The sequence below is a fragment of the Homo sapiens genome, chromosome 2, assembly GCF_000001405.40.
Source record: "Homo sapiens chromosome 2, GRCh38.p14 Primary Assembly".
Taxonomy (NCBI): Eukaryota; Metazoa; Chordata; class Mammalia; order Primates; family Hominidae; genus Homo; species Homo sapiens.
Genome location: NC_000002.12, coordinates 157805604 through 157832755, shown reverse-complemented (window position 1 = coordinate 157832755; position 27152 = coordinate 157805604). Strand labels below are relative to the sequence as shown.

General features: G+C 40.7%; 1 protein-coding gene across 7 annotated transcripts in view, besides 1 other annotated feature; it reads left to right on the top strand.

Annotated features, from left to right (window-relative positions):
* The window catches only part of ACVR1 (activin A receptor type 1), a 139885-nt gene that overhangs the window by 43575 nt on the left and 69158 nt on the right, over positions 1–27152 (top strand). For 4 of the 7 annotated variants that reach the window (NM_001111067.4, NM_001347666.1, NM_001347663.1 and 1 more), the window contains one exon: positions 14197–14371. The gene's annotated coding sequence lies outside the window, so the exon portion shown is untranslated. Of the gene's footprint in view, positions 1–6109; positions 6229–13266; positions 13354–14196; positions 14372–27152 lie in introns of all 7 variants that reach the window. The other 3 variants (NM_001347664.1, NM_001347667.2, NM_001347665.1) reach the window with 2 other exon arrangements.
* Positions 1220–1721: an enhancer, noted in NCBI's record as "NANOG hESC enhancer chr2:158687547-158688048 (GRCh37/hg19 assembly coordinates)". NCBI's record gives its function as "activates a minimal SCP1, AML or CMV promoter by ChIP-STARR-seq in primed H9 embryonic stem cells {active_cell/tissue: H9 hESC(primed)}" and the evidence as "EXISTENCE:reporter gene assay evidence [ECO:0000049][PMID:30033119]".

Sequence of the window (27152 nt, the reverse complement as noted above, 5' to 3'; positions counted from 1 at the left end):
GTTTTATGTTATAGAATTAATCTATAAAAAATGAATTCTGATGCAAAGCTATGTGTTCTAATTAATAGTAACCCAAATCAAGAGGCTAAAATTCCATTAGTGGACTGAATGCTGAGTGACACTTGAGGAGAGTAAAGTATAGAAAATGTCTCTGTTTTGTGGTTACTCATATAAAAGGTCTTGCATTAAAGAGTCCAGAGATTTATGTATCATAGACAAGGTCATCTTGATAATAGCACATAATTCTGGGAGCAGACACATCCCCATCTTCCCACCCCATATCACCCCTACTGCAAAGCATCACTGGAATCCCAAAGAGGATTCCAGGTAGGCTGGCCTCAGTCCTGACTCTTGACTTGCCATCATCCTTTCTCGTTTTTGTCTTTCCTGTTAGTTTCTTCTGATACCTCACGTGTCCTTTGGTAGAGGCTGTTTCATTTTAATTATTTAATTTCATTTTAATTATCTGCCATTTACTAATGTTAGTCTGAAGTTGGCGGTGATTTGCAGATTCTCAGTAGTAGTTCTCATCTGATTGGGGGGTGGTGTCTGCCTGTTTTATAGATGGGACACAGGCAGAGAGTAATGTGCTTAAGATACCAATGCCTGGGAAGTAACATGCCTAGGTTCATTCCTCAAGCTGTGCGATTCCAGAGCTTTTGCTCTTTTCACAAAAATTAACTGGGAGACAAGCTGTGTCCAGGTGGTGAAGCTAGGTCCAGGAGTACAGCCCAGCATGTACTCGAGGTCTAAGTTGTACAAAAAAGGCTGTAAGACCTTTCAAACTGATTTTTAAAATAACAGTTTTATTGAGTTAGTTCATATACCAAAAACATTCACCCTTTTATAATGTACTATTCAGTGGTTTTTAGTGTAGCCACAGAACTGTTCAACTGACACCACTATCTAATGTTAGAACATTTTCACCACCCTGACAGAGAAACTATTAGCATGTAAGACTAATTTTAAAGCTAACATTATTGGAGTAGAAGCCAAGGATTGGGCTCTCCTGATCATCCTGTGAACTGAGTGAGGGTAGAAACCAGTTCCTGGCCCAACCCTGCAGTGGGCACAGAGTAGACACCAGTGTTGACTCTCACAGAATCCTCCAGAACAGTGAATTCTCAACTTTTGAAATTTTAACCCAGTCCCAATTTTGGTAAACTAAAAAATCTCACTTTACTCTGCCCACTTGTTTTATGAAAACAATAGGATTTAAAATTGTTTTCTAAGCACCTATTTGTTTTTTGATTTTTCTCGGGTAGATCTGCCACCCTCATTATTTTGATTGGAGAGTCATTGGCATCTCAAGACTTCTGGGTTATTTTCATTGCAGGTTTGCTTGAACACATGAAATGATTCAGTGCAGTCATGAGTTCAGATGACTCACGCATTAAGCAATTTCATGTGTAAAAGTGATCCCAGCCAGCAAATGCTAATAACAGCCATTTATTATTCCTTGGATCTTCCTACTCTTTTCTTTAACATTTGTCTTTGGCCATTGCCTCCTTTCTGTTACCTTTTTCATGCTTATTAAAGTAAATTGAATAACATTATATAGCAATGTGTGTTATTTGTCTTTTCTTCCCAGTGTGATATAAACAGTCTGGGGCTGAGAAAATGGGTAGTGGGGTGGGGAAAAACCTTTAAGAAGGTAAAGGCCAGGTGTGGTGTCTCATTCCTGTAATCCTAGTGCTTTGGGAGGCTAAGGTGGGAGAATTGTTTGAGACCAGGAATTCAAGGCTACAGTGAGTTATGTTTCTGCCACTCCACTCCAACTTGAGCAACAGAGTGAGACCCTGTTTCTAAGACAAAAAATGTAGCAAATGTAACATTGTCATGGTGAGAGGAAGAACACTTCTTTTTCCTACTTGAGCTCCCTCAGTCACCTTGACTGACAACATCTGGAAGCAGGCCAGCCAGTGAGAGCTTAGCCAAGGGAATTGTATGGGGGCATGAGTCCAAGTGACCATCTTGGGAATAATTCTCTGGGAAAAAATTACATTTTTTTTTTTTTTTTTTGGTGAAACAAAGCATCTCCCTTCTTACATTTTATTGATAACAATTTAGTTTCCAGTAATATTACATTGTTAGCATGGTATATAAGTATTTCAAGTTTTGTTTTCTCTCTCTGTGTGTATATAAAATTTAGAAAAAAGATTATGTCCTAAAATGTTAGAGTAGGGAATACTTTGTTTTCAAATGTAAGTCACAAGGAAGCTGTGGTTGAGTATATACACTTAGTTTACACATTGTCTTTTTGTATGAAATCAGAAACGTTGGTAGTTCTCTTTGTCTATAACTTAGGGTTTGGGGAAGTTTGTTTTGTTTTTTAGTTTGAGTTAAAAGCCATGACAACACTGAAAATGGGTTCCAGTAGGTCTACCTCCTTTTTTCCATTAGCATTATTATTTCTTTTTCATTTTTTAAATTGTTCATATTTCTCTTGGATGGTATCTTTTCTGCTTTGAATCCATTATCAGGGTACATCATTTATTATCAACATTTATGAAGGGCCTTTTATTTAATTTTATTTTGAGACGGAGTTTGCTCTTGTCACCTAGGCTGGAGTGCAATGGCATGATCTCGGCTCACTGAAACCTCCGCCTCCTGGGTTCAAGCAATTCTCCTGCCTCAGCCTCCCAAGTAGCTGGGATTACAGGAGCCTGCTACCACACCTGGCTAATTTTTGTATTTTTAGTACAGATGGCATTTCACCATGTTGGCCAGGCTGGTCTCGAACTCCTGACTTCAGGTGATCCACCTGCCTTGGCTTCCCAGACAGAGTGTTGGGATTACAGGCGTGAGCCACTGCGCCCAGCCTCTTGGCCTATTGTTTATGACTATCCTTGATGTTTCATAGGTGAAAAATACTCTTACTTTGAAGAGTCCACAGACTCACCAGGGAAATAGTAAAATTTAAAAATTAAAATGCACTTTTAAGGGCCACAATAGTTAAGTTTGGGAAAAACAGATGAGGGGGCATGTGTTAATATTTCAGACAGGATGTAGACATGGGGGCTTTGGGAGGTGATGCTGGGGCTGATCCTGAAGCATAGGAGTTTGCCAGATGAAAAAAGACATTTCAGGCAGACAAGTGCAAAGGCAGAAGGTGAACATGGTCATGGTGTCCCCAGGGAGCTGTAAGATACAATTAGGGTGAGGGTACCTATGAGATGATAACTCGATGATGTTGGAGATGTCTGGGGCCAGATCATGAAAATCAAGAAATCTACACCAGCTAGGAGAACCATTGATGGCTTTAAGCAGAGGAGAGGCACTAGTGAGCGTTACTCAATGAACAATTTACTACACTCATGGCAGGGATGTAGAGGAGACCTTGAAGGAGTCAGTTGGGCCACTGCTGGTGGGAGAGGTCCTGGGCTGGGTTGTAGGCAGCGATGGGGTTTGTAAGGCAAACTTGGTTTCTGGCTTTGTCTACAAGATTCTTCAGTGGTTCCATTGCAGAAGATAGGACATAAAGAAAGATTAGTAGATTTGGGATGGTGGGTGACATGGACAGGATGCTTTCAGTCTTGGGAACCTGGATGTATTCTTTTGCTCCCTTGAGAGACTGTTCTTGGTAGACCCACTGTTACTGTACTTCTGTTTGTACATTTTCGTACTCAGTTATCCTTCAATTGGAGAGCAAATGATTGGTGAGCAAATTAAATTAAAAGCAAACCTCAGTCAGACACAGTGGCTCACGCCTGTAATCCCAGCACTTTGGGAGGCTGAGGCAGGTGGATCACTTGAGGTCAGGAGTTCGAGACCAGCCTGGCCAACATGGGGAAACCCCCATCTCTACTAAAAATACAAAAATTATCTGGGCATGGTGGTGGGTGCCTGTAATCCCAGCTACTCAGGAGGCTGAGGCACAAAAATCGCTTGAGCCCGGGAGGCAGAGGTTGGAGTGAGCCAAGATTGTGCCACTGCACTCTAGCCTGGGCGACAGAGTGAGACTCTGTCTCAAAAAACAAACAAACAAACAAAAAAACAAAAAACTAATCTCTGAGTTAAGAATGAAACTGCTAAATTAAATAAAAAGTATTATGTTATTTTTACATTTTTTTCTTTAATTAGTGGGTTGGGTGCCATCGCAGTACAGAGGTAGATTGGAAAGCTATCTTTTTTTGGAAACAGAGTTTTGCTATCCCTCTGTTGCCCAGGCTGGAGCGCAGTGACATGATCTCAGCAGCCTCTGCCTTCCAGGCTCAAGCAAGCCTCCTGCCTCAGCTTCCTGAGTAGCTGGGACTACAGGGACCCACTGCTATGCCCACCTAATTTTTTTTTTTTTTTTTTTTTTGAGACGGAGTCTTGCTCTGTTGCCTAGGCTGGAGTGCAGTGGCGTGATCTCGGCTCACTGCAAGCTCCGCCTCCCAAGTTCAATCGATTCTCCCGCCTCAGTCTCCCGAGTAGCTGGGATTACAGGCATCCGCCATCATGCTTGGCTAATTTTTTTTGTATTTTTGTAGAGACGGGGTTTCACCATGTTGGCCAGGCTGGTCTTGAACTCCTGACCTCAGGTGATCTGCCTGCCTGGACCTCCCAAAATGCTGGGAATACAGGCGTGAGCCCCAGCGCCCGGCCTTTTGTATTTTTTTGTAGAGACGAGGTTTTGCCATGTTGCCCAGAAAATTCCTGGGCTCAAGCAATCCGCCTACCTCGGCTTCTCAAAGTGCTGGGATTACAAGCGTGAGCCACTACACCTGGCCCAAAAACAGCACCTTTAATTAAAGAATACCCCTTGCTGTTAGCATAATTCTTGAGGAATCCTAGTAACAATCATGAAAGAAATACCTAAGAAGAATCTTTGAGCTAGAAGGAAACGTAGTGACTTGGGCCACTGCTCTTTCTTTATAGTTAGGATAAAAGGATAACAGAGAAGGGTGAGTGAGAAGGGTTAGTGACTTCTGAGTGTCACACAGCAGTGGTGCGGGGGCATGTCTAGCTCATCGGTTCAGTGTTACCTCCATCGACCTGGATGACTCCCTGCTCAGTCCCATAGAGACGATAGAGCTGAGTTGAAAGACACTAGTGCTCAAGACCACCAAGTCAGCGGTAGACCCAGAGTTGCCTAAATTCTTGACTTTAATCTTATTTTAAATTAACTCACTGTTCATAGGCCAACAAGTATTTGTTGACTGGTTAGTATGGAAGGGATACTACCCCAATTATTACACAATCAGAGATAAGTAAGAGACTATTTTTCTTTTCAAGAAGTGTGCAGGTTAATTTTTCAGATTAACTCATTACAGGACTGGCAAACACTTATACAATTCATGGCTTGTCTGACATAATTATGGGTATGTAGTATATACACACACAAAACCAATGAGAAAACGAGGCCACATAAAACATTGTTCATTTTTCTTTTCTTTTTTACCTAACTTTATTGGATTTTGTTTTCTTTTGTTTTTTTGCTTGTTACCTTGTTCTCTCTGCACAGTGGGCAATCAGTTTCTAGACTAGCTTTAGAAATGCCTACATGCTGGTGGGCAAACAATAAATAGAACCAAATAATAAAAAATAATATTGATTGTCTTTTTTTCAGTTTATTCTTGTTCAATCATAATTAGGAAGCATGATCTGGTGAAAATTTTTCTTAGGTTGGTAATGACATAAATACTTGCAGGAAGGTATTTGGTACTTTCTGCTACTGCTTTGAATTTAAGCCTAGGGTAGAAATTTAGCCATTTCTACCCTAGAAATGGTAAGAGTGATAGAGAAGTTTCTTTTTCTTTACCAAGTTTATGAGCTTGAAATTATTAATGCTTTTTGTTTTTTTTTCTTTCTTTCTCTTTCTCTCTGTTTCTCTCTTTCTTTCTTTCCCTTCCTTCCTTCCTTTCTTTTCCTACCTTCCTCCTTTCCTTTCCTTTCCTTTCCTTTCCCTTCCTTCTTCTTTTCCTTTTCCCCTCTCCCCTCTCCCCTCTCCCCTTTCCTTTCCTTTTCCTTTTCCCTTTCCCTTTCCTTTCCTTTCCTTTCCTTTCCTTTCCTTTCCTTTCCTTTCCTTTCCTTTCCTTTCCTTTCCTTTCCTTTCCTTTCCTTTCCTTTCCTTCTCTCTCTTTTTCTTTCTTTTCTTTTGTTTCTTTTTTTTTTTTTTTGACAGGGTCTTACTCTGTCGCCCAGTCTGTAATGCAGTGCTGTGACCATAGCCCACTGCAGCCTCCACCTCCCAGGCTCAAGCAGTCCTTCCCCCCTCGCCCTCATGAATAGCTGGGACTACAGGTATGTGCCACCCATGCTTGGCTAATTTTTTGGAGATGAAGTCTCACAGTATTGCCCAGGCTGGTCTCGAACTCTTGGGCTTAAATAATCCTCCTGCCTTGGCCTCCCAAAGTGCTGGGATTATAGGTATGAGCCACTGTGCTCAGCCTGTTTTTTCTATAATTTTAAACTTCATTCATGCCACAAATATTTAAGTAGTTTGGCATGATGCTAGACCAGGCACTGGAGATATAGCAGCACATTGAATACACAGAGTTCCTACTTTCAAGAGGCTCCTCGTTGAAGTTTTGCTAAATATCTGTCTAGTGAAGGTAAATAGTACAGCCTAGGAGAAACAAAATGCCAGACACTCCATTAGAAAACCAGAAAATCTGGTCCTGGCCTGGTGGGTGGCAGTCTTGCGAACTCTTGTAAAAGTGCCTGAGATCATGAGCTGATGAAAGCCTGTATAGTCTTATGTGTGAGTATAATCACCAAGGATTACCACATTCCTGCCAGGCAACAGTTACAACACGGATGTCTCATGGTAATGAGGAGAGCTGGAGTGCTGCTGCAATGGGGTGTACACACGTGAAAGCTGAGCCAAACAGACAGAAAGGCGATCTAATTACCAGAGAAGTCTGATTCTGTTTAGGGAGTCGTGTGTTGGGGGAATGGAAGAAGTGGCCATTTCCTTCTTTCTTCTCTTCCACTTGTTCTCAATCCCTCTTCACTCAAGATGCTCTGATTCTTCGCTGAGAACCATTTGGAGATGTACATATAGCTGGATTAAAGCTACTTGGGGTTAGCCCAGGACAGCAGACTGATTTCATGGAAGACATTTTTTCTACGGATGGAGTAGTGGGGAGGAAGAGGTATGGTTTCAGGATGAAACTGTTTACATCAGATCACCAGGCATTAGTTAGATTCTCATAAGGAGTGTACAACCTAGATTCCCCACATGTGCAGTTCACAATAGGGTTCGCTCCACTGAGAATCTAATGCTGCCACTGATCTGATCTGATAGGAGGCAGAGCTCAGGCCTAATGCTCACTTGCCAGCCCCTTACCTCTGCTGTGCGGCCGGGTTCCTAACAGGCCATGGACCAGTACCCGTCCACAGCCTGGGGGTTGGGGACCCCTGGCCTGATGAGTTGTCATGAAACTCATTTCTCACTCAGGAATTGATTTGACTCCATGGAACCACCACAGACCTGTTAACTGGGTAAAGGCTGATGGAACTTGAAAAAAATGAAGGAGAATTAGAAAAATAGGGGGAAAGTGTGATGGATCCATTGGATGTCTATATTGAGCTACTAGCTGCTCTAAAAGGCTTATAGAAAGGCCTCCTGTGTAATTGGTAACATCAGTTAACCAGAAAGGCTGTGTTTATTTCCTTCCTAAACTAGTTAATCAAAGATTTCAGTGGGCCTTGCATAGGGAAAGAAATAAGGATAGAAAAGGGAGAGAGCAGGAATAAAGAAGAGAGAGAGAAAGGAGTGGCTGGGCGTGGTAATCTCTCACTCCTGTAATCTCAGCACTTTGAGAGACTGAGGTGGGCAGATCACTTGAGGTCAGGAGTTCGAGACCAGCCTGGCCAACATGGCAAAACCCCATCTCCACCAAAAATTAGCCAGGCGTGGTGGCATACGCCTGTAATCCCAGATACTCAGGAGGCTGAGGCAGGAGAGTCACTTGAACCTGGGAGGTGGAGATTGCAGTGAGTGGAGATTGTGCCACTGCACTCCAGCCTGGTTGAGAGAGTGAGACTCTGTCTCAAAAAAAAAAAAGAGAAAGGAGTGAGTGACATGGGTTACTTATGAGTGAGGAGTGCATGTGTGTCTGTCTTTTGTGGAATCTGATCTTCTCTGAAGTCACACCTCATATCTGGTGAGAAGTTGACTTAAGGGGGTATTCTATTTTAGTCTGTAGCCTTCCTGTTTGGTGTCTGGATTTTTTCTAAGTCACCACCAGTGGAAGAATGAGTATTGGGCTATTAGTCTTTCATGTTCTCTTTTCAGGCTTCCTATGGAGCCCTTTGTAATATTTATTTCAAAGTTGCTTATTATTATTATTACTTTTTTGACAGGATCTTGCTCTGTTGCCCAGGCTGGAGTGCAGTGGCATGAACATGGCTCACTGTAGCCTCGAGCTCCTGGGCTGAAGCAGTCCCCCCATCTCAGCCTCCTGAGTAGCTGGGACTACAGGTGTGCACCACCATGCCAGGCTAATTTTTAAATTTTTTGTAGAGATGGGGTCTCGCCATATTCCCCAGGCTGGTCTCCAACTCCTGGGCTCAAGCAATCCTCCTATCTTGGCCTTCCAGTGTGCAGGGATTACAGGCATAAGCCACTGTGCCTGGCCCTAAATTGCTATTTTGATGAGTCAAAATGGTCAAATCTCAGCAATTTTGCATAGGATTCAACCTAATAATTCAACCCTGGTAATCGTCACTTCTCTTCTTATAGCTGCTCCTTAAATATTGAGTTTACAACATTAGCTACCATTTATTAGCATCCACTGAGTGCCATGTACTTCATACGTGGCAGCTCTGCAAGGGAGTCATGACGCCTGTTTTGCAGGAAAAGATTACATGGGCCAGGGCTGGGACCCATCTCAGAACCTGTTGGTTCAAGCATGGAACCTTCTTTATGCTACTGTAGCCCACTCACTGCCTTTGTTGCCTCAAGTTTTCTCCTTGATTCCCTTACTTTATATTTCTGGCAGGAGTAAATGAATCTTTGGCTGGACAGATGAAAGGGATTTTGATGGACCACCAAACCACTTCACTTGAGGGTTTCGAGGTTACGGAGTGTAGGCAGATTATCTTCAAACGTGTAGTCTGGTACTTAATTACACTCTGTAATTAAGTAAACCATAGCGGGCCCCTTTTGTCTTAGCCAAATTGTACTTTAAATTCTGGAGGAGAAAGGTGCTCTAATATTTCGGCCAAAACATTAGGAAAGCCCATCTTCACTGTATTTCCACTTTGGCCTGGTTGTCTTTCTAGGCTGTAAGGCAGACCTGAATCTTTTCCTTAAAACATCTTGGAGATTTTGTTTTTCCTCATGCTCTGCCCTCGTTCCCCGGCTTTTTTTTCTTCATTATCTAGAAGTCTGACATATTTGATTCCTACTCTGTCTCTAGATATACACCTGGAGAGAACAGTGTTTCTGTCACAGAATTCCTTCTCAGGATTTCTTGGGAAATATATATGTTTTTCCAAATCCCTAGAAAAATCACTTATGAGGTAAATGGGAAAAAGTGTTATAATCCTCCTGTGAGAATTGTATGAGTCAACACAATGACAGTAGAAAGAATTCACTGATGTCAAGTTGAAAGCAAGAACAGGAAAAGCTGACTTGCAGAGTTGAAGGATAAGATCCACCTTTTTTGGAGCCAGTGCAGGATAGGAGCATGTGGGAGAGAATGGGTCATGATTTCTTCTCGCCGTTGCCATGTTAGAAATGTGTCTTTGTGGCCCAATCTGCTACTACCATTGATGTGTCATCCTTGCAAATAAAATAAGTTTATATGCATAGCATACTGTATACATATCCTACGCTTGGTATTGCAAGAAATAAGTTTTAGAAGTAAACTGAGTCTTTAAATTGGTGACTTCAACATACGAATCTGTGTAGTACTGTTAATTTGCTTGTAGATCTGAATGTAGGTTATTGCAGTGGTCAACAAAGTCTCTTTCTAAAGGGCCAGGTAGTAAATATTTTCGGTTTTGCAAGCCATACGGACTCTGTTACAACTATCAGTTCTACCATTTCAGTGTGAAAGCAGTCATAGACTATACTTAAAATGAACAAGTGTGCCTGTTGCAATAAAACTTTTATTTACAAATCCAGACTGTGGGCTGGATTTTGCCCGCTACTGGCATAACATCCAATAATGTTCACTAGCATTTTCCAGGATCTTAGTATTTGCTATGCTACAATTCTTTGTAAATCCTACTAAGTGTGATAGTTCCCATTTAACAATGTTTTTGGATATCCAAATAATGAGTAAAGAATGCAAGTATTTTAAGAAGAATATATTCTGGAGAAATTCCTGGAAATTCCCATTTCTCATGGTCATTCACATTTTCTTATGTATAATTTGGGAATAGTATAAGCTCTCAATTTCATTGTTAGGATTAGGTCAGACAATGCAAGTAATGTGGTTAACACAGTTATAGAACTAAGAGCTCACTAAATGATAGCTGCTATAATTAGTAACTAGATGGGGAGTATTTACCCCATTTCATGGAAAAGGAAACTGAAACTCAGGGGTTAAATGATTTGCGGAGGTCACATTTAATAGGTTGGAAAACTGAGTTTGGCTGCTTCCTAAGTCCATGTTCTTGCTACCATATCCTGCTTTCTGAAGTAGTTCTGGTTAATGGCAATTCCACGGCAAGATACACCTTGATTTATTTGGTTTATGGGCTGGGTGAACAGACAGGGAGAGTATGGAATGGTTCTTGAAAGGGTAAGGATTTTCAATGTTTAGAAGCCACAGTTTCTAGAAGCCAAGGATATGATTGTAACTAAAGAGCTGAGAAAACTTGTCTTGATTTTTTTTTTCCCCTGTTGCTTAGCTGTTGTGTGGACTGCCAAGAGCTTGTTTGATTTTAAGTGCTTTTTATGCTTGCCTGTTACTCAGGTCCCATCATATTGCAACAACTTTTAAGAAACTATGCATGTTCTTTTAAACTGGATTGAAGAAAACTGTACTGTAATGTTAAATGCCCAAAATTAGAGTTAGAAAATTTGATTGGATTTTCCTTCTCCTTCTTCATGGCCATCCTCCAACCACCTGCACAGGAATGTGTCTTTGACCCTTTAGGGTCAGACTTTTACACAGCTTGATTAGCTGCCAAGAATTGAAACTCCATCGCCAAATAAGTTGGCTAAATTTTTGGAAAAAAACTCAGCTCAATGAATGGTTTTTGAAAATTTGCTAGAGTTTACTATATAGATATTCATTTCATGGCACTGATTTTTTTATTTTATTTTTTTATTTTTTATTTTTTTTAGACAAATTCTCCCTCTGTTCCCCAGGCTGGAGTGCAGTGGCGCTGATCTTGGCTCACTGCAGCCTCCACCTTCCGGGTTCAAGCGAGTCTCGTGCCTCAGACTCCCGAGTAGCTAGGATTACAGGTGCCTGCCACCACGCCAGGCTAATTTTGTATTTTTGGTAGAGACAGGGTTTCACCATGTCAGCCAGGCTGGTCTTGAACTCTGGACCTCAGGTGGTCCACCCACCTCGGCCTCTCAAAGTGCTGGGATTACAGGCATGAGCCACAGCCCCTGAACAATAGCACTGATTTTAATTAGTGTGTATATCTTTTTGGGGAGTTGGTTTTTATATTTTCAGTCCCTCTTGGGATTTTGAACACAACAGTTTTTAGCTACCTTTCAGGTGTGCCGAGCTTGCCTATTGATAGAAGGGTATTTGTGGGGAGATGGGTGCCAAGTAGAACATTTGAAGAGTTAAGTATCCAGTTCACGTTATTTCCCATTTTACCAACCTTGTCTTTCTTATAGTACACCACAGTTTTGATTTCAGTCCATGGTTTATTTGAGAGTCCAATGAATTTTAAAACAAATGTTAAATTATATTTAACTTGGAGATTTAATTTTTATCTAGTTAACTCTTGAGTACCAAGTATATGCTAAGTATCGTGAAAGAGGGCCAAACAGTGAAGAATAATATGTGATCTTTACCTAGTTTTGAATTGGTTTCGAGAAACCCAGTGCATGGCAGAGAATTAAGTGCTAGGTTGTTCGTCATATAGAATATAAATACCAGGGGAATTAGAAAGATCTGGGAAATATAAGAATCTTTAGAGAAGACTGGACAGAGGCAGGAGAACCCAAACACTGTCTTGAAGGATGAGAAGGAGTTCCATGCAGTGAAGATGATGGGGCTGGGATGTTGGATGGCAAATTAGTAGCACCTTTATAATGAGAAAAAAAAAAAAAGAGAGAGAGTCTCTGATTTTTAAAAAGAGAATCAGAAAAATATATACCAGTGTTTATTTTCTGGCTTATCTAAACCTCTTCCTACCAGTACAGTAACTCTCACTTAAAGACATGGTTGACCCTAGGCAGGACAGCTGAACACTGGCCTCCTCTTAAAATGCGGTTAGACTTTGGCAGAGGGGAAAGCAGCTTTAGTGTGAATCTGCCAGATTTCCCTGGCCCCAGCATCTTGGAAAATACCAGTATTTCAGCAGTTTGTTCTGAAACTCAAGGGTTTGCGGGTGCGAGTTTGTTTTTAAGGATGCCCACTTTAGAAATGCATTTTTGCTCTTTCACTTTGCTAAGTGATTGCTGAAAAAGACAAATTTCTGGTTGACCTCCCTATGGAAGATAGTTTTACATGTCTTATTCTTACTGTGCCTTACGTGTCTAGATTTTCTTTTCAAATAGATTGTGAGCCTCAATTTAAGCTGAAGTGAGGAACGGTTTGATAGTATCTGTAAAACATTTCCCTCGAATTCCAAGGTGGATGGGAAGATTTTTCCCCATAATTATTGCAGAATGCTGCATTTGGGGCTTGTTTTCTGGTTAGATTTATTTACGTGAAGGTTTTCTTGGCAAAATGTTCCTTGAGGTTAAAAAAAAAGGCGCTGTTTTCTGAAGGCAGTAAGTTCTTCAGTGTTTTGTGTTACTTAACTATTTGAATGGGAAAGTTTGGTTCTAATAAAAATTTCCTCTTCCTTTGGCAAATGTTGATGTTTTTCAAGTCTTCCTAAAGGAAAATGGGGCCTGGGTGGGTTTTTGTTTTTTATTAGTTATCTAGAGCCTCCCCTCCTCTTCCCTTCCGCTTTGTACTCCTTCCCCACCATTGTTTTATGAGCCTTTGAACCAGATCTGTCTATGCCAGAGAATTGTTGCTTGAAAATAGACCAAAATCAGATATATTTGAGTGGATATACAAGAAATTGGTTACTCTGGTATACTGGATGCCTCTAGGAGGGGCCAGGGATCTTGGAACGGGAGAAAGACTTTTCATTCTGTAGTTTGTACTGCTCAAACTTTTTTTTTTTTTTTTTTTGAGACAGAGTTTCGCTCTTGTTGTCCAGGCTGGAGTGGAATGGCGTGATCTCGGCTCACCGTGATCTCGGCTCACCGTAACCTCCGCCTCTCAGGTTCAAGCGATTCTCCTGCTTCAGCCTCCCGACTAGCTGGGATTACAGGAATACGCCACCATACCCAGCTAATTTTGTATTTTTAGTACAGACGGGGTTTCACTATATTGGCCAGACTGGTCTTGAACTCCTGACCTCATGATCCGCCTCCCTCAAATGCACACAATAGTACATGCAGGGTCAAAATTTTTGTTTGATTTTGTGTGTGGCAAGGGAAAGAGAGGAAAGGGCTAGAGTACATAGTGTATAGGCTTTAAAAGAACTTGATTTTGAAATGTGCTGACTGCAGATCTTACTGGTTTTTTTTTTTTTTTTTTTTTTTTTTGAGACGGAGTCTCGCTCTGTCACCCAGGCTGGAGTGCAGTGGCGGGATCTCGGCTCACTGCAAGCTCCACCTCCCGGGTTCACGCCATTCTCCTGCCTCAGCCTCCCAAGTAGCTGGGACTACAGGCGCCCGCCACTACGCCCGGCTAATTTTTTGTATTTTTAGTAGAGACGGGGTTTCACCGTTTTAGCCGGGATGGTCTCGATCTCCTGACCTCGTGATCCGCCCGCCTCGGCCTCCCAAAGTGCTGGGATTACAGGCGTGAGCCACCGCGCCCGGCCGATCTTACTGGTTTTTGTGTTTAGAAAAATATTTAAAGACCAGTACAGATCCATAACCTCCACACTCTTCCTATCAGTGTTTTCAAACTTTTCTGTACTTGCTGCACTTGTAGATCAGCTTTGTTTTGTGGTCCTAATTGAAAGGCGTGCCAAATGTGCACTTCCTTTAGCCACCACATTCACAACTGCAGGATTTTCTTCTGCTTAGCTGGTTTTCTTTCTTCTTTCCCTCTGCAGCCTGGAGCATTGGTAAGCGTCACACTGCCAAAGTGAGAGCTGCTGGAGAACTCATAATCCCAGGAACGCCTCTTCTACTCTCCGAGTACCCCAGTGACCAGAGTGAGAGAAGCTCTGAACGAGGGCACGCGGCTTGAAGGACTGTGGGCAGATGTGACCAAGAGCCTGCATTAAGGTAGCTGAGTAAGCTTTACCCAGGAGCTCTCAGAACGGCATTGCCAGAACCAGCAGTGCAGCCACTTCAACAAATCACTTCTTTTAATACTCTTTGGCAGAGATCAAATCTACAGGGTAAATTCTTTGCCACAAATGATTATTTTGTTTTTTTATATGAATCCAATATAAGAAAGTTAGGACCAGCCTAATAGTTCTTAGTTCTGGCGTTGCCTTCATAGTAGGCTTTGTTGGGTGGATCTGCACAGCTATTCTTTAAATTTGGCCAAGTTTTTCAAATAAATACTACCAGTGTTTCCCTGCCTATAAAATGCCCCTGCCATCCTTTTCACCTTACAGGGCCACTACATTAAGTTTTTCTTTTCTTTTGTTTTTTTTTTTTTTGAGACGGAGTCTCGTTCTGTCACCTAGGCTGGAGTGCAGTGGTGTGATCTCGGTTCACTGCAACCTCCACCTCCCAGGGTCACGCAATTCTCCTGCCTCAGCCTCTTGAGTAGCTGGGACTACAGGTGTGTGCCGCCACAGCCAGCTAATTTTTTTTGTATTATTAGTAGAGACGGGGTTTCACCATATTGGCCAGGCTGGTCTCGAACTCCTGACCTTGTGATCCACCTGCCTTGGCCTCCCAACGTGATGGGATTACAGGTGTGAGCCACTGTGCCCGGCCCTAATTTTTTCTTTTAAAATAGACCTTATTTCTTTTAGAGCAGTTTTAGGTTCACAGCAAAATTGAGCAGAAAATAGAAAGAGTTCTCATCTATCTCCCCAACACCTCCCCTACTGTCAATATCCCACACCAGAGTAGTACATGTACTACAATCAATGAACCTACTTCGACATATCATTATCACCCAAAGGCAATAGTTTACATTAGGCTCAGTCTTGGTGTTGTACATTCTGTGGGTTTGGACAAATGAGTAATGACATGCATCTACCATTATAATATTATAGAGAGTAGTTTCAGTGCCCTAAAGATCTCCGTGTTCTACCTATTCATTTCCCATCCCCACTAGCCCTTGGCAATCACTGGGCTTTTTGCTGTGTCCTTGCATTTACCTTTTCCAGAACTACATTTTAATAATACATTTCCCGTGGAGTGCTTTGAAAGCATAAAGAAGCCTTGAGCCAGGCATGGTGGCTCATGCCTCTAATCCCAGTGCTTTGGGAGGCCAAAGTAGGAAGATTGGTTATGCCCAGGAGTTTGAGACCAGCCTGGAAAACATAGTGAGACTCCGTCTCTACAAAAAAGAAAAAAAAAATTAGCCAGGTGTGTTGGCAGGTTCGTGTATTCCCAGCTACTTGAGAGGCTGAGGCACATGGATTACTTGAATCTGGGAAGTTGAGGCTTCAATGAGCCGTGATTGCACCACTGCAGCCCAGACTGGGCAACAGAACAAGACCTTGTATCAAAAAAAAAAAAAATGTCTCGCTATCCAGGATGAAATGCTTTTAAGAGTATGATAAGTTATGGGGGTAATATGAATACCTACTTGGAATAGAGTCAGTAAGATGTTTTGTGAGGGGAAGCCTGAAGTGCAAAATGTTGATGTGTGTGTCTTTCTGAATTTAACATTTGAGTTGCTCAGATATGGTTTGAACCATGTATGTGGAGACAGAAGCAAGGGATTGGGGATTAAATTCTGCCAGGGTTGGTCTGTGCAGCCTCCTTAGATTTAACGCTTTTGAGGAAAGTCTCTGATGTGGCTGTTAGGTGCATTCTTTTTAAAGGAAAGTCCAATGTATTATTATAAAACAGCCTTATTATTATTATTATTATTATTACTATTTTGAGGCAGGGTCTCACTCTGTTGCCTAGGCTGGAGAGCAGTGATGCAATCATGGCACGCTGCAGCCTCAAACTCCTGGGCTCAAGGGATCCTCCTGCCTCAGCCTCCCAAGTAACTAGGACTATAGATGTACACAACCACGCCTGGCTATTTTTTTTTTTGTCGTTTGTTTTTTTTTTTGGAGACAGAGTCTCACTATGTTGCCCAGGCTGGTGTTGAACTGCTGGCCTCAAGTATTCCTTCTGCCTTAGCCCCCCATAGCTTTATATTTTATGTAAAAGTTAATTTTGATTATTTCATTTCAGATAATACGAAACAGTATAAAGTATAGCCATATATAGAGATAAAAGTTCTTCCCTTCTCTCTTTCACCTTTGGCTAAAATCTTGGAATACAAACTTTCCCATTTACAAACCTTTTCTTATACAGATATTTTTATATACAAACAAATATGCATATTAATTATGTTAAAAATTGGTGGAACATGACCATACATTCTATTTTACAACTTGCTTTTTGGCTTGACTTGGTATATTGTGGATATTTTTCCTTTTAAGCAGAATTTAATCTCAGGGTGAGTAATGCCTGCCTAGTGTCCCTTAAATGGCTATACTGTAATAATCACCAGTCCTCAAGTGAGAGGTTAGTTCATAATTTAAAGGGGGTAGGCGGGAGACCTTTCACATTAGGGACAAAACCAAGGCCATGACTGTTGACATTGGACTTTTGGTCACTAAGGATGTATGTTTTTATTTTCCAAGGCAGACGATGCACGGCTTGGGGCTGCTGCCAAGGTGTCAGTTTTGTGAAATTTTTATTTTTTGGAGGCTGTTAATATATTAGCATAGTTGTTAGTTCTGGCTACCATCCTTTGAGCATTTTGAGACACTTCTATGCCCATTTAAGGTGGTGTGAGGTTGAATTAGTTTTAAGAGGAAGTAATGAATAACAGAAATGGAATTAGGAGACAGACTTTATTTTGTGTATATGTTTATTTGAGGGAGAAGGAGATGATGGCTGTAGTTAATTGCTACCCCTGTGATTCTTAATTATGAAACAGGGTTAAAATTGTTCAGCTCAGTAGTTTCCTAATGTGGTTAACAGTGAGAGTCACCAGAGAAGTTTTCCGGTATCTGGTGTTGGCAATGAATATTTGTATTTTTCTTATTTTATAAAGTATTTATTTTTAGAAAGGTAATGTAATTAATGTATACAAGATTAAAAAGGCACAAAAGAGTGTAGAGTGAAAACTAAGTCTCCCTTTTCTGTCTCCCAAGTACCCAGTGGCCCTTCTAGAAACAGCCACTGTATTACCATTTTCTTGTGTATTCTTTCAGTGATTTCAGAGTATATATAATATACATGCATATAATATACATGCATATATTACAATTTTTCTTTTACACACATGGTAACAGTATCCACGGTTTTATACGTTTTCTTATTGAAATAATATTTCTTGGAAGTTCTTCCATAGTAGCGCTGCATTCTTTTTATTTATTTATTTTTTTGAGACGGAGTCTTGCTCTGTTGCCCAGGCTGGAGTGCAGTGGCGCCATCTTGGCTCACTGCAAGCTCTGCCTCCTGGGTTCACGACATTCTCCTGCCTCAGCCTCCCAATTAGCTGGGACTACCTACAGGTGCCCGCCACCACGCCCTGCTAATTTTTTGTATTTTCAGTAGAGACAGGGTTTCACCGTGTTAGCCAGGATGGTCACGATCTCCTGACCTCAGGTGGTCCACCCACCTCGGCCTCCCAAAGTGCTGGGATTACAGGTGTGACCCACCGTGTCGGGCGCATTCATTTTTAGTAAATACCTGGTATTCCATTGTAGAGATGTGCTGTCATTTACTTAACAATATTGATGGGTATATAGATCATTTCCAGTTTTTATTATCGTGAACAAAGCTATAGGGAATAACTTTGAATATACATCATTTCAAACGTGTGAGTGTATCTATGGGATCCATTTCTAGTAGAATTGCTGGGTCAAAGGTTATACACATTATAATTTTGGTAGAAATTTATTGCCAAGTTGCTCTGTTTATAGACCTTGACAGATTTTAGATTTAACAACGATGGGTGAGAACAGTTTTCTCATGCCCTTGCCTGTCAAGTATGACTCCCAAGTGATTATTTTATTTATTTGCCAAAGCAATAGGTAAAAAATGGCAGTTTAATGTGCTTTAATTTGCATTTTTCTTAGTTTGATTGAGATTGAGCATCTTTTCATAAGTTTAAAAGCCACTTTTATTTCTAGTTATCTTTCTATGCTTGTGTTCGTTGTCTATTTTGCTGTTTGGTTATGATTTTTATTATCAAAATATGACATCAAAATTATTGGTCCCCCCTTTTTATCCTTGTGATATGTGCTATTTATATTTTTCTCCGTTGGCCATTTGTATAGAAATAATTATTACTTTGTTGTGCAGGTTATTACAAATTTTATATAGTTAAAATCACCAATTTATTCAAGCAACAATTATTTATTGAATGCCTCTTGTGTATGAGAACTTGTTCTAAGCACCAGGCTATACAGTAATGTAAAAAACAGACCCTAATTCTTGCTCCACAGCGGAAGTTACATTCTTACTTACATTGGAGGAAATGATCAACATCCTAGTATCGTAGTTAAAAGACCTTTCATTTTTAGATTTAAAAACTTACTATCTCCTGGTTCATTCTAATGTCATGTGGGGTTTTTTTAGATTGAAGTCTTTGATCCATCTGAAATATTAGGTATGAATTCAAATGAATTTTTCTCTAGATGCTGTATTAATTAGGGTTAGGTTGAATTGCTGTAACCAAGGGACTGAAATATGCTATGGTTCAAAGAACACAAAAGTTTATTTTTTCTTCACTTAACAGTCCCTGTGTAAGCAAAACAGGTCAGCAGAACCTCCCACATCCACTGATCATTCAGAGGCTTGAGTTCCTTCTGTCCTGTGGTTCTAGTAATTGTTGCTGTGATTATCTGCATGGTCATATCTGAGTTGCTGCTGTATCTGGGTCCTCTCCATGGGAAGGGCAAAGAAGAAAGTCCAGGGCTAGTGATCAGAAACGGCAGACATCACTACAGATGAAAACTATAGTGATGAGAACTTCATTATATGGGTACATCTAGCCGCAATGCAGACTGAAAAGTGAAGTCTGTGTTGGCCGCCTTGTACCCAAGAAGAAGGAAAGAAGGGATTTTAGTGGAAAATTAGCAGTCTCTGCCATATTGGCTAGTCATTCCAATTTTACTGAACAGTCCCAACTTTTCTCCTTTGGTTTCTTTTATAGTATAAATTCCCATATAGATTTTGGTCTATTTCTGGGATAACCGTTTAGTTTCATTAATCTGTCTGCCTATTCATGCAGCAGAATCGCATTGTTTTAACTTTTGAGGCTTAGTTTTTTTTTTTCTTTTTCATGGGGTAAGTCTCCCCATTTTAAGTCCATTTCACAGAATTTTATTACTTGTGTGTGTGTGTTTGTGTTTTAAAAATAGGAACTTTAAAAGAATCATACCCAGTTACCACCCTCTCCCCCCATGAAGAAAACCTATTATTTTTGGGATTTTGTTAAATGTATAGACTTCATTAGTGAAGGTTCACTCTTTATGATGTTCATTTTTCTTATTTGACAATAGTGTTGCACAATTCCTTTGAAAAACACTGATCTGAACCCTAGACTTTCTATATCCTTTGACCCATGACACTTATTGAAGTACGTGGGAGGAAGGACCACTTTATATGATGTGTTAATTTTATTTTAATACATGATTTCTGATTATGACCAGGAAACATACTTATTTTGCTATTCTATTAAAAATAAACTTGGAACTTGTAAAAACAATTTCTTCAGTTTGAAGATAAGGAAGAGTTGATATTTCAGAAGTGTATTGCACAAACTTATTTGTAATGTACCAACCTGGGCTAATTGTTTGCGTATATATGATGCACAGTGCTTGTTACTTGCTTAGTGTATGTGTATGTGTGTATATATTTGTAACAACATGTATTCAGCTTTTGTCCTTTCCTTTTTACCTTTTTTAATGTAAAATAAAACACGAAAAGAAGCATACATAGTTTAGTTAATTACAAGGTGAATTTTTTTTGTGATCACCATGCAGGCCAAGAAATAGTATATTATGTAGTATATACACTATAGTAATTGCCTCCTTGCCTTTTTTTTAATGGGTCCATCAACCAGGTGTTCAGACCTACAGATTGGTCTCGTATTATCTCTTTATGTTTTGTAAGTCTCTTAAACCTGGGGTTTCCCCCTCCAGCCCTTTCTTTCCCTTACAGTTTCTCTGTTGAAGAACCTGGCCATTTGACCTCCAGCTTCTTTCTTGCTAGATTTTGGTGATTGCATCCACATGGTTCAATTCAATTTGTTTTTCTTTTAGTGGCATATGTTATATTAACACCACAATCTGGGCACCAGGGATGCTCACTGCTACTGAGTGGGTCCTTATTTCTAGGCCCGTTTAGTGGACCGAACCAGGAATTAAATATTTATAAAATACTTCATGAGTTCATTCTGATACTTTGTGATTCAAATTCAGTTTATAAGGTTTTAACTTAACCTTTTCTATATAACATCTTTATCTCCTTTATTTGACACAAAATTCTAGTCCTCAAACACAACGGGGTGATAGAATACTTCATAGGTACTTATTTGCTTTCTTCCACATTATACACACAGTATTCTCAGAAGTGCCACAATGCTAACACTATACTGCTAGTTATGAAAACTGAAAACAATTTCTTTTTTGTATTCTATTTCCATTCTCCTTCTTTTTGTTGTTGTTGTTGTTGTTGGAGGGTGTTTTAGTTGTTGAAAATTGGGCAGATTTAACACTGATTAGCTCTTAGATGATATTTGAAGGAGGAATAATTTTAACTTTGTTGGGTGAGATGTTGGGTTTTAGTTATGTTTAGAAAAAGTCCTTATCTGTCAGAGAATTTGTGGGTGAAATGATATGACATCTGTGATTCTCATTAAAATACCTCAGGAAGAAAATGGGAATGGAGGAAATAAGGCTGCTTATTTTTGAAACTGGGGGTAGAATGTTGCTTATTTTTGAAACTAGAAGATTTTAAAAGAAGGCATATTACGCTTTCTGTTTCTATGTAACTTGAACTATCTGTAATAAAAAATTTAAATATTAATTTTATAAACAGTGAAAAGAAAAGAACATATGGGGAGGAGGGTAATAAGGAAAGAATAGACAGGGAGTGGGGAAATGACTAAAGAATGGGTGATTTCATTCTCAACCTGGTGGTCCAGCCTGGTGGCCTACAGTGGTTCCCGAGTCTAAGAAAACGAGTAACATCTTGAGTGAAAAGAAAAGGCTGAGCTGTGGGGCCTAAACCAAGATTTAAGGCATGAGTGACAGAAGAGGAAGCTTCTATGCAAGGAAACTGAGAAGGATCAAAGCATTAAAAGTAAAGATACCTGAGAGTGCAGCCCACAAATCCCAGCTAGGGAGGAAGCCAAGGGAAGAAGGTGGTCACAACACCACATCCTACATAATCAGTGAGTGAGACCTCCTTGTCATTCTCAGCATCACCCGATTTGCTGGAGGGTGGGGGATTCCTAGGCCTCGTCACAGATCAAAATCTCTAGGGGGTGAGGCTTGGGAATCCATATTTTGAGGAAGCTCCCTTGTGAACCTGAAGGATAAGGTAAGACTAAAACGACGTAGAACCTTAACAAGGGGTATTTCACTGGATTGACTAAGGCAGAACACTGTGGACTGAAGACTGGATGGGGGACATGGAGGAAGCCTGTGTAGTTGCTGTTCTAGAAAGTGTTCGGTGAAAGGATGAAGAGGGTGGATATTGGAGACCTTGGGGCTGAGGAGGTGGTGGTAGTTGAAATTGTTGCTTATGATGATGTAAGAGAGATTGCCTATAAATGGGAAGGATGTGGGTGGTTTTCAGTGCAGGATAACTGAGTAGTTTGGCTACACATGTGCTTAGGCCCCCCACTGCCAGAGAGATTATTTTTTGGAAAGAGAGATTTTTGATGGTTCAGGGAAAGCTTGGAAATGTTCATCATGGATTAGATGTTTCTTTCACTTGTTAGCATTTTGAATTACATATTAAGGGAGGAGAGGCCTCAAAGCCTTCTCAGTGCCTTTCCTTCTCAAGTTCTTATTGGGCCTTTCTGGCCCATCCTTGAGAAAGAAGGAAGGAATGGGGCCTGGCACACTGGATACAGGGACCCCTCCCTGCCACCTGTCCCCCATCATGTTCTTACAGTTTTCTCTTTCTCCATTTCCTTGCCTCATGTTAAATGGCAGTCTTGTATATGTAGAACCTCCTTAAGGGATTGCCTGGTACAGAGTGGTGTTTTTCAGTCATTATACTTTTGGACTATTGGAAGGATTCCCACGTTTCCACAATGATTTCATAATCACAGTGTTTGAAGGTTGTGGACAAGGACTGAGGTGAGAATACTATTCTCCTCTTTTCCACTGCCTTGGGGTCTTTGTTTTATTTTTAGTTTTAATTTTACATATTTTTTAGAGATAGGGTCTCACTGTGTCACCTAGTCTGGAGTACAGTGGCATGATCATAGCTCAGTGTAACCTTGAACTCCTGGGCTCAAGTAATCTTGTCGTCCCAGCCTCCAGAGCAGCTGGGACTACAGGCCCACACCAACACGCTTGGCCAATTTTCTTTATTTTTTGTAGAGATGGGGTCTCACTGTGTTGCCCATGCTGGTCTTGAGATCCTGGGCTCAAGTGATCCTCCTGCCTCAGCCTCCCAAAGTGCTGGGATTACAAGCATGAACCACTGTGCCTGACTGCATTTTATTTTTAATAACAGATCAAATTCATAATTTTCTACTCTATCGGCTTTCTACCTTTGTGTTCTTGGGCGCATCACCTATTTTTAAGATTTCATTCTTTCTCCCTACTTCATAGAGTGCATTTATTTTTACTTTTAACATTGTTTTCTTATTTAGGTCAGTGAGTGTTTCTGGTCGAGTGGGTGGTTTTTTGGTTATATCCGTTCTCCAGTCTCTCTCCACCCGGTATCCATCCAGAACCTCTCCCTGCCTCCTCTCCCTGTCTCCTCCTTGTTTTCTGTTGTGGTTACTTGGATGCTAACCCATTCAACTTGTGCACTGACCCTGGTACATGGCTCGTTTTCTTTCTCATGATCATATTTATACTTTTGATGGATATATTTAAATGAACAGCTGTGTGTTTGTTGAGTCATACCACAATTATCTGATTCTGCTTTAGCTGCTTGACTGGCAAAAGCATATTTCAAGCTAAATTGTGAGAGAATTCCATTAATCACATTCTATTCGGGGGAGGGGAGAGGAGACAGACCACTAAGAGAATTCTTTTCCAAGGTTAATGTTAATTAGTGATTCCATTATTTAGAGTAGGTTGATCTGGTTGCTATTTAATGTGTGACTTGGAGAAACTTTACAAAGTTTAAATAACTGTAAAAATAACTATGAAAGGTTTAATGATAACAGCCGTGTAGGCAAAATTCCTTGGAATAAATTGATGTGCAGATAAAGTTAGTTGCTGCTGCTGGTCTATTTAAATAGATAAGGGGTCTTTCAAGAGTTCCTTTTTGTAAAGACCAGGGTTCTTGCCTCACATTGCTGTAATTCATTGGCTAAGTATTTTGTTTGAAGCCTCCTGAAAAGATAACATCTAATTCAGAAATGTTACTACTTTCTGTTTTTTTTTTTTTTTTTAAATGTATTACTGACTGTTACCTCTGGTCAAGTCTTTGGCTTCCATCAGCCGGATCTATTTTTCTCCTGACACTTCCTTGGGGTTCTCTCTGAAGGTTATTAATAGGCATGGAAGCATGGCTTTCCAAATAGCGTCAATAAATGTTAGAAGCCTTCAGGGGAGATAATATGTCAATTTCTGACTTGTAGGAGATGTATATTCAAGAGACAGACGCTGTCTCAGAGGTCATTAGGGATGGCTCTGGGCCTATCAGCTGGTGTCTGCAACTAGAGATCCAAGCAATCCCTTCCAACTGGGATATTGTCCACCAGGGAGTTGTCTGGTACACCCAAGGTCTGCCAGCCGTCTTTTTGTTTGGCTGCCTCTCTTGGATGACACCCTTGAAAACTGGAATCCAAGTTACAAATGATATCTTTTAATTTATCTCAAATATCTGCTTGCTACTATATTAAACTGGGGACATACAAACCCACCCCTGCCCCCCATTTCCTTGCTAGGCTATATAAAACTTAAACTTCACCTTCCTCTCTCCACACCAAAGTGTAGCCAAGGCTAAGATGTTAAAATGAATATGTTTTAATTTATATTGTGCACCTGGTAGGTGCCAAGCATGAGTATGTAGCCATGAGCCAGGCAGAGTTCTTACTCTCATGTTGCTTACATTTTGGTGTGTGGAAGAGGGAGAAACACAATAAAAAATTTATTTATTTTATTTTAAACTAGTAAGTAAGTGACAAATCTCACCTAGTTGTTAAGTGCTAAGAAGAAGATATGGTGGGATAATATAGTTTATGGGGGTGGGTGAGAAGGTCTGAGACAGGAATGGGCTTGGAGTGTGGGAGTGAGACGGAAGGCTTTGGTTAGGCCAGTGTATAAAGGGTGGTGTTTCTCACTACCACAGAAAAGTGCTCCAGTGTCTCTCAGTAAAGACAGAGAGAGAGAGGGAGAGAGAGAGAGAGAGAAAGAGAGAAATGTACCTCTCTGGCCTTGACATTCCTTTCATCTTATACCCACCCCCCCCCCCAAATTATTATAGATTAATCACATTAGCCTGAGAATTGGGACAGCTGTGTCAGATGAGCAGTGCTTCTAACACTGTAAGTCATGGGAGGGAAAGAAAGGTCTGCACTGTTAGGTTAGAGGGGAAACGTCAGGTCAGGCACAGCTAGAAATGAGACAGAGGACTGAGACAGTGTCTACCTGAGGACTTTGGGAAGAAGCGGGATTTGAAATGAACTTCAGAATTACATATCTAGAAGAGCTTTATGGGAAGGGATAATGGGGCTTTTCCTACCAATAGGTAAAAAAAAAAAAATGGTCCAGTCACAGTTTGCAAACAAGGGATAGGGAGTGAGCTGTGAGCTGCGTTGGAGAATGTAGCAAAATAGCAGGGAGATGATGGAGTCCTAGCAGTTGAAACAAAGCAGGTGGACCGTGGCTATTTGAAACAAAGGAATGAAGTGGAAAACGAGGGACAGTCTCCATATAGTCAAGCCTGGTGAAATAACACCTAGTTTTGAGGTACGAGTAAGGCACGCAGCAAGTGATCAAAACACTGGATTCTCAGAAATTTAGTGTAGGTATTCTGTGTATATCTGGAAGGGGTGTAACAAAGTCAATTTCATTCTGTGTACAGTTAAAATAAATTTACTGGGGAGCCTTTGATTCTTACATAGTAGCCTAAGCTAGACCTTTCACTTCCTTTCACATTAAGCCTTATCTTTTTTTCATCTTTTTTCATTTTACAGATCATATTGTTTGCTTCCCTTCCTTCCCAAACCATATCTAGGGTCCATCTGTTACAGCTGGAATGTTTATAGTGTAACTCAGTCAAAACCCATTCTTTCCTGAAATAATCCATAATTATTTCCTCTAACTACAGGATAAACGGATCCAGGGCCTGGTTTTCAGTTCTATAGGACTTGTCCAAGAAGCTATTTGTATTCATCTATCATGAAAGATCAAATTACATGCTAATATTCTGAAAGTAACACCCCGCCAGAAACCCTCCAGCAGCAGTGAAGTCTATATAAAACCAAGCCTTGGCAATTTGCACATTGCCAGTTCCGACAGAGTGTGGTGTTAAAAATATTTAACAGGTCATTTTTGAACCGTAGAAAAGACCCTGACTTAACTTACATGGTATGATAGCTTCGGTTTAACCTTTCTTTGCAGCTATTACTGACAGCCCATGTCTCATTTCACTCCTCCCAAAGGCCCAGGTAGTTTGGCACAAGCTGCCTTTGGGTTAGCTCATTGCCTTTTGAGCATAGAAGAGATATGACTGTTCTTGTATTATCTAATCAGTTACAGTGGCTGATTTTGGCCCCTCTTCGTGGTGGTTGATGTAAGTCTATTTTCCTTCAAAGTTTCATGTCTACAATTTCCCTTGCTGGGCCTAACTTTGCCCCTAAATATGCCTTACACTAATTTCCGTTTTTATTTTGAGGGGTGAGTTTACAAGAGAACTGAAGAGTAGGGATGGAGGATGGGGGCTAGAAACCACTGATGCACTATCAAAGAGGCTTGTTTTTTTCTATGATATCAACATCTTTTCTGGGGGCAGTGGGAGGGAGGAGATGATTGGGGGTCACAGAGTAATATGAAATTGTTTAAGGTTAGGGAAATGGAAAGAAGGCATGATTGAATGGTGTATTAAATAACCATGAGTAAAGGTTGTTCTTTAAGAGGAAAATAAAGATTTTCAGTTGAAGTTCAGAAGAATTGAGGCTTGAATAAAATGTTAAGGATGGCGGAGCATGGTAGCTCCCACCTGTAATCCCAGCACTTTGGGAGGCCGAGGCAGGGGGATTGATTAAGCCCAGGAGTTCGAGACCAGACTGAGAAACATGGTGAAACCCCACCTCTACCAAAAAATACAAAAATAATTAGTCAGACATGGTGGCATGTGCCTGTAGTCCCCACTACTTGAGGGGCTGAGGCAGCAGGATCATTTGAGCCGAGGAGGTTGAGGCTGCAGTAAGCTGAGGTTATCCCACTGCACTCCAGCCTGGGCCACAGAGCAAGACCTCGTCTCAAAAAAAAAAAAAAAAAAAAAGAAAAAAGAAAAAAAAAACCCAAACAAACAAACAAACAAAAAACTGTTAAGGATGACAGAACAAGATTGCTAAACTGTGGCTAGCTAGTTAAGTGAAAGTTGTGTAGAGTGGTGGTGGGTTAAGACCTGAATGTTCTGATCTGGTGGTTTGCGGTTTGACCTGTGTCCTTAGGCAAGTTTCTTCTACCTTCCCAGAAGACTAAGAAAAAGCAGGATT